Source organism: Homo sapiens, chromosome 5, assembly GCF_000001405.40.
Source record: "Homo sapiens chromosome 5, GRCh38.p14 Primary Assembly".
NCBI lineage: Eukaryota > Metazoa > Chordata > Mammalia > Primates > Hominidae > Homo > Homo sapiens.
Window position 1 is genome coordinate 45,223,713 of NC_000005.10, and position 7,454 is coordinate 45,231,166.

General features: G+C 39.3%; 1 long non-coding RNA gene across 1 annotated transcript; it reads left to right on the forward strand.

Annotated features, from left to right (window-relative positions):
• The first annotated feature begins 3,752 nt into the window (after nucleotides 1–3,752).
• On the forward strand, nucleotides 3,753–4,718 carry LOC124901180 (uncharacterized). The gene is made up of 2 exons (XR_007059130.1): nucleotides 3,753–3,848; nucleotides 4,372–4,718. It is a non-coding gene; the product is annotated as an uncharacterized LOC124901180 (long non-coding RNA).
• Nucleotides 4,719–7,454: the final 2,736 nt, after the last annotated feature.

Consider the following 7,454-nt stretch of genomic DNA (forward strand, 5'->3'; position numbering starts at 1 on the left):
TAATACATTATATATAACGGTAAAAGAACATGTTGTACTGTTCTTTTGAAAATTTCATAAGTAAATGGGGAAGAAAGTAAAGTTTACAAATTTAAAAAGAAAATAAATTCTAAAGATAAACTCAGGAAATCCCACTGAGAGCCAGAAAACTTGAACATTCAATCTAAGGAATAATTTATGCATTGCAATTTCATCTTATCTCATTGTGGTATTATTAATGCCTTGAAGATACTTCTCTGCAGTTATATTACAGGAAACAGTGACAAGACTGTTAAGCTATAATCATAAATGTAAAACAAATTTTTCTGAAGTCTTAAGGCAATAATAACTTGTATATCTATAAAATTACAAAAAAATTTACAAGTTGGTCAATTTCATTTAATATTAATGCCAGAAAAATATCTCAATTATTTTTCAAAATAGTGTACATTACATACCAGAATTGTGCCTTTGAAATGTATTTGAACTCTTCCAAAGAAAAAAATCCAAACTTAATTATGTCTTCTGAAGCTGATTTTTGTCATATAACACATGATATATAATAAGTTGGAATATAATATCCTCTATTTCACAAGATTGCTGCAAAAATACAATGAGATATACTGGTTTATATATCTTTAAAAGAGATAATATGTAAAGTGTCTTATATGGTTTCTGAAATACAGCATGTATTTTAAAATGTTAGCTTCATTTCTTATTCTCTCCTCACCTTTTTATTTTTTTAAAAACAACCTTGCAGGTGTGGGAGTATTAGCAACCCAATTAAGTATATACTTTGATGGAGATAGAACTGTGTAATGATTTCTGCTTTTTTTTTCTTTTTAAGACTTGCTCTGTCTTTTTAAGTCTTGCTCTGTCACCCAGGGCTGGATTACAGTGGCCTGATTTCGGCTCACTGCAACCTCTGCCTCCCGGGTTCCAGCAATTTTCCTGCCTCAGCCTCCTAAGTAGCTGGAATTACAGGAATGTGCCACCACGCCTGGCTAATTTTTTGTGTGTTTTTTGTAGACACGGGGTTTTGCCATACTGGCCAGGCTGGTCTTGAACTCTTGGCCTCAAATGATCCGCCCGCCTCGGCCACCCAAAGTACTGGGATTACAGGAGTGAGCATGTCTTGATTTCTTAACTAGAATGCTTTCTTCAATCTCTTCATTTGAATTGAGCCATGTTTTCCTCTCAAAGCTAAAACACTGAGATCTTACCTTGTTCCTGTTAGGTTAGGTAGCCTTCCTACATATTTTGTTCCCTGATTGCTTTAATTGTAAGTATGCCAGTCTGTCTTCTGTACTAGAATACAAAACCTTCAAGGATAAGATGACATTCCCATTTTCTGACCTAACTTACTGGATCCTAAACAAAAGTGTATTGCTTGAACAGCTGTATTGAATGGTGACTACTATTTCATCCACTTTTGATTTTGTTTCCTCCTGACTGGCTAAACAGTTTGGGTAAGGGCATTTTCAATTGCAAGTAACAGAACCCCAACAAGAACTAGTTTAAATCGAACAGAGGAATTTTCTGATTTAGAACAAAACTCCACTAAGCAGTCAAGGTGGCCCTGGTCTTAAGCAAACTTTGAATCATGGATGGTTAGACTGTCAAAAAAGACCTACTCACTCTTGCAGGGTCTTGTTATTACTTCTTTGTATTGAAGTTTCATTAATTTTTTCTTGCAGATGGTTTTCCATGGCATAGGACACATGGGTTTAGAAACTTTTGTACTCATATGCTGCTGAGAGGTGACAACTTGCTAGGTGATAACGTGCTAGCAGCCCTCGCTCACTCTCCATGACTCCAAGGCCTCGTCGTCCACTCTGGCTGCGTTTGAGGGGCCCTTCATCCCGCCACTGGCCTCTGGGAGCCACTCTCTGGACTGGCCGAGGACGGAGCTGGCTCCCTCTGCTTGCGGGGAGGTGTGGAGGAAGAGGCGCGGGCGGGAACTGGGGCTGCGTGCAGCGCTCCCAGGCCAGCGTGAGTTCCGGGTGCTCGCGGGCTGAGCGGCCCCCTGCTGGCGGCCCAGGGAGTGAGGCGCTTAGCACCCGGGCCAGCAGCTGTGGAGGGTGCGCTGGGTCCTCCAGCACTGCCGGCCTGCCCATGCCATGCTCGAATTCTCACAGGGCTTCAGCTGCCTCCCCACAGGGCAGGGCTGGGGACCTGCTTGGGACTTGCAGCCAGCCATGCGGGAGCACCCTTCCTTGGGCTCCCATGCGGCCTGATCCTCCCAGACGGGCACTGCCCCCTGCTCCGCCCCAGCCCATTGACTGCCCAAAGGCTAAGGAGTTCTAGCATAGCGGGCAGCTCCACTGGCCGCCCAGGCATGGGCTCCACTAGGCAAAGGGTGTGGACTTGGAGAACTTTTATGTCTAGCTAAAGGATTGTAAATGCACCAATCAGCACTCTGCGTCTAGCTAAAAGTTTGTAAATGCACCAATCAGCACTCTGTCAAAACAGACCAATCAGTGCTCTGTAAAATGGACCAATCAGCTGTCTGTAAAATGTACCTATTGGCGGGGGCGGGGGGGGGGGGGGTGGTCAGAGAGGGGAATAAAAGCAGTCCACCCAAGCCAACTGACAGGACCGGCTCAGATGTCTTTACTTGCTGTGTAAGTGTTGTTCTTTGGCTGTTAGCAATAAATCTTGTTGCTGCTCACTCTTGGGTCTGCGCCGACTTTGTGAGCTGTAACACTCACTGCCAAGGTCTGCAGCTTCACTCCTGAAGCCGGCTAGACCACGAGCCCACCAGAAGGAAGAAACTCTGGACACATCTAAACATCTGAAGGAACAAACTCCCGACACACTATGTTTAAGAACTGTAACACTCACCGTGAGGGTCTGCGGCTTCATTGTTGAAGTCAGCAAGTTGGAGAACCCACCAATTCCGGTCACACTACCAGTGTGGTAGCCTAAGGTAGAGTGTGTCTCTTTCATTCCAGTGGAAAATGTTATGAGTAAGAAGTCATACTGACCAGCTTGGTGTACCCCTTGGATCAGATGTCGTAGCTGGGAAAGTGAGATTATATCAGTTAGCATTTGTGTAAAACAAATGACCCTAAATTTTAGTCAATTAAATAGAAACCATCTCTTTAGAATACAGTTCTATAGGGTGGCAGTTTCAACTGGGTTTGGGTGGCTCTTCTAGTTTTGGGCGGGCTTGTTTATATAGTCATGATTAACTGCCAAGTCAGCTGGAAGCTAGCTGGTCTAGAAAGGCCTCAAGTGGGATGTCATGTCTCTGCTTAATATGCTTTATCATTTTTTTAGCAGGTTATTTTGGTTTTCATATATTGTCGCTGGACAGGGTTCCAAAAGAGAAACAGAGACTGCAAGTACTCAAAGACTTTTGAAGTCTGGGCTTGTATCTTGCCTCTCCTGACTCCCACTGCATTTTATTGGCCAAAGAAATTCAAAAGATTAAAGAGAAGAAATAAGAGACTCTGAATTTTTAATGGTAGGACTTGGGAAATGGAGCAGTTACAGGTAAAAGGGAATGATTATGGCCATCTATGTAGTCTATCATATAGGTACCATGCTAAAGTTTGAATAACATATTACTCGTATCTGCAGAGGTAAAGGTGACTATCAGAAGAAATATTATAGCACATACATGGTCATTGGAATAATTGTTTTAGCTTCACATTTACTTTTGTTTCTGTAATCTATGCAGTTCTACTCATTGATCAACAAATATAACTTGGACTTTCTTGCTTTCATATTGTTCTTTGCCTAATTGTCCTTGTTTCTGATGTGTCAAGATCTCTGACACCTTTCAACTTTAAATCCAGTTTGATTCGTTGTCAATGGACAATCCTCCACCTCTGAGAAGCTTTCTATGATTACTTCAGATGAAGGTAAATTTTCTCCATAGGATTGTAGCAATGGTTCTTAATTTAGGCTATACATTAGAAATATTGTAGTGATCTTTAAAAATTTCAATGCCCAGACCATACCTGAGACCAACTGAGCCAGAATCTCTGGGAGAGGGATCTTAGCATCAGTTCCCGTGGTGATTTTAACATATAGCCAAGGTTGAGATCCAGTGTTTTATAATAGTTTCTGATAAAATTAGGGTTACAGTGAGTTTTTTTCTATATTATAAACTCTTTTGAGGGCAGGGACCTACCTAATACAGTGTGTCATGCATAATTGGCACTCAATATAGAGTTGCTGATAAAGTGCTATGGACTGAATGCTTTTCTCTCTCCAAAGTTCATATCTTAAAACCCTATCTCCTAATGTGAGGGTATGAGTAGGTGGGGTCTTTGGGAGGTAATTAGGATTAGATGAGGACCTGAAGGTGGAGCCCTCGCGGAGGGGATTAGTATTGTTAGAAGACTCTCAAGAGAACTTGCTTTCTCTCTTTTGCCTTGTGAGGACTCAGCAAGAACTAGGCACTCTGCAACCCAGAAGAGAGTTCTCGCCAGAAACCAATCATGCTGGCACTTGGATCTAGGACTTCAAGCTTCCAGAAATTTGTGGAATAAGTTTCTGCTGTTTATAAGCCACCAAGTCTATGATAATGTGTCAGAGGACTGAGCTAAGACATAAAGTGAGCTAGAGTTAAGATTTAAGATCTATTTGTTACAATAAAATTCAAAATAGTCGTATAAATGTTTAAATGCAACATCTCAAAAATCGTAACATGTTCTTACATTTAGAGAATTAGTACAGAAATATTAAGTCAACAAAATTTCTAACATTAAATTGATGTCTACTTGTTATGTTGATTTGCAAACATTTTTTTCCACATGGATATATTTCCTTTTGTCTACCCAACTAATTGTTATTGCATTACAGGAAATCTTTTATTTATTTTGTATTTCTCTGTAAACACCTCCCTACCTTGTCTAGTATAGTGTCAATTATTTCATGCTTTTATTAATGTAATGGCAAAGTCATTTTAATGGCCAGAATATAAAGAATTATAAATAACACCTCCATAGAATTAAGATTTGATTGTTGCAATGGCAATATGGATGACTTTTAGAAAAATGTGTTGTATATGCCATCAGACATTAAAAAAAGTTAGCTAAGCTGCAAATCAATTTTTACATGCAAATATAACATATTAATAACAGCAGTAGATGAAAAAAGGATTGGCTTGAATCGCTAAGTCATTTCACACATTGATACCAGAGTAAAATACTTCAAAATTGTTCTTACTGAACATTCTTCTTTTCCTCCCACATACACAGAAGAAGAAAAATATCACTATACCATTAATGTCTTTTACATACCTATACGCAATCTGAACTTTCTCAGAGGAACAATGAACAAAATAATTTTTCTATTTCTTTGGAACATATTTACTTAACATGAAAGATCTTGTGCCTTTGCATTGGGCGTTCATTTCCTCTATAGCTAAAGGGTAAATGATGGATAGGAGAATAAAGAGGGACAAATATAAGGTCTGCTAATATGGTAATGTCTGTAGGTGGTGTACGTGTTTATACATATTTGACCTGCACTTTAACAAGACATGAATTTATCACTCAAAAACACTACCCTGCTCCCATCTTCCTCAAAGTGAAAAAGAAAAGAAACAAAGAATGTTAGATACATCTAATAAAAGGACAAAATAGGCCTGATGCCCTCGAAACAAAAAAACTGTTCTCACTTACAAAGGCCTTGAAGTTCAAGCAGTGGCTTCAACATATATGAAAACTTGATTCAAACCCTTCACATTTGGTAACAGTAATGAGGAAGATAATCTTCTGCCGAGACTTGTCCACCTAAACTCAGGAAAAGATGGGTAAAGTGGCACTATATATTACAATAAATATTTGGCATGCTATTTTCCTATCTCCTTTGACTTTTCTATTGCTTTTGACTGATTAGTGACCAATGAAATGAATAGACTTAGCATGATTGATGGGAAGCAATATGGTGACTCAAGAAAATCAACTGTTTTAGGAAGGCATTGCACTTTTTATTGTGTGTGAGAGAGAAAAGAAAGACATGAATTTTGAGTTTTTTCAGTCATCTCTGCTTACCCTCAAAGGAGATTTACTGCTATTACAGAATAAAGATAATCTGTGATGGTGGAAAAATAAAAGACTGTCTGCATAGGTTTTACTTTGGAAAGGGTTTTTGCTCAAAGAGCTTATCTTGAAGTAGAGAAAGCAGATTAAAAAAAAATGATATGAAGCTGGTAACACTAGTTGAATTGTAGAATGTATAAGTTTAAAGGAAAGGAAATGTGAGTATGATTTTCATATTTATGGTTTGGGTACTGCTGTGGTCTGAATGTATGTGTCTCCCCAGAATTCATATGTTGAAACCTAACCCCCAAGGTGATGATATTAAGCAGTGGGACCTGTGAGAAGTGATTAAGTCATAAGGACTCTGCCCTCATGAATGTGATTATCACCCTTATCAAAAAGACTGGAGGGAGCCTTTTTGCCTTCTGTCATGAGGGGAAACAACTAGAAGGCACTGTCCATTAGCAATGAACCCTAAACAGATGCTGAATCTGCTGATGCCTTGATCTTGGACTTCCCAGCCTCCTCCTGAACTGTAAGAAATACATTCCTGTTGTTTATAAGTTTCCCGGTCTAAGGTATTTTCTTATAGCAGCCCCAAATGACTAAGGCAGGTACCTAGGCCATGGTGATACTAAAATATAAAACACAGGAGGAGCAATAAGTTTGGAGGTAAAAATATAGAGGTCAATTTTGGACATATTTGAGTAATTAGGAAATATCCACATGACGAAAGCAGGTAGATGGATGTATCTGGAATTCAGAAGAGGAGATTTTCAGGAGGTAGAGAATTGAGTGTCTTCAGTGTATTCACAAATAACACTTGGATACTGTTGGCTATGTGTTGTTCATTGTTATAAGCATTCACACTTAGATGGCAAGTCATTTAATACTTCCAGGAACGTTATGAGGGTGTTGCATTCTTGTGTTCATTATCTCCATTCTGTAGATGAGGAAATTTAGGCTCAGAAAGGTTGAATAACTTGCTAAAATGACCCAGGTAGGAAGTGATGGAGCTACTATTCTAAAGACGACACACACCCTGGCTCCAGAGTCCAAACTCTTAACCACTGTTCTATACTGCTTCACATAAAATAAGTAGATTCGGTCAGGGATTGTCAAAGAGTGTGAAAAGGGATGGATTTAAGACAACCTCAAGAGGATAGAAACACCAAAGATGTCTAACTAAATGGCTTTCTATTCAGTCACCACTTCCTTATATTTTGACTTTTCCCTCTGTGCTTAACATTTTGAAATACGTAACTTGTTCCTCTTGAAGACGTTTTAATCTAGTCAGAGAGACGTGTAAGTACATAAACTCATCCATGAACAATACAACCCACTTTATCCATGCATACAGTGCAGTGTAGATTTTAAATTAAGCATTAAGGGATGGAATTAACAATATTAGATGGAGCTACTGAAGATATTTAACGGAATAGCACTCCCCGAAGTGGGAGCTGTAGAAGGTGTCAA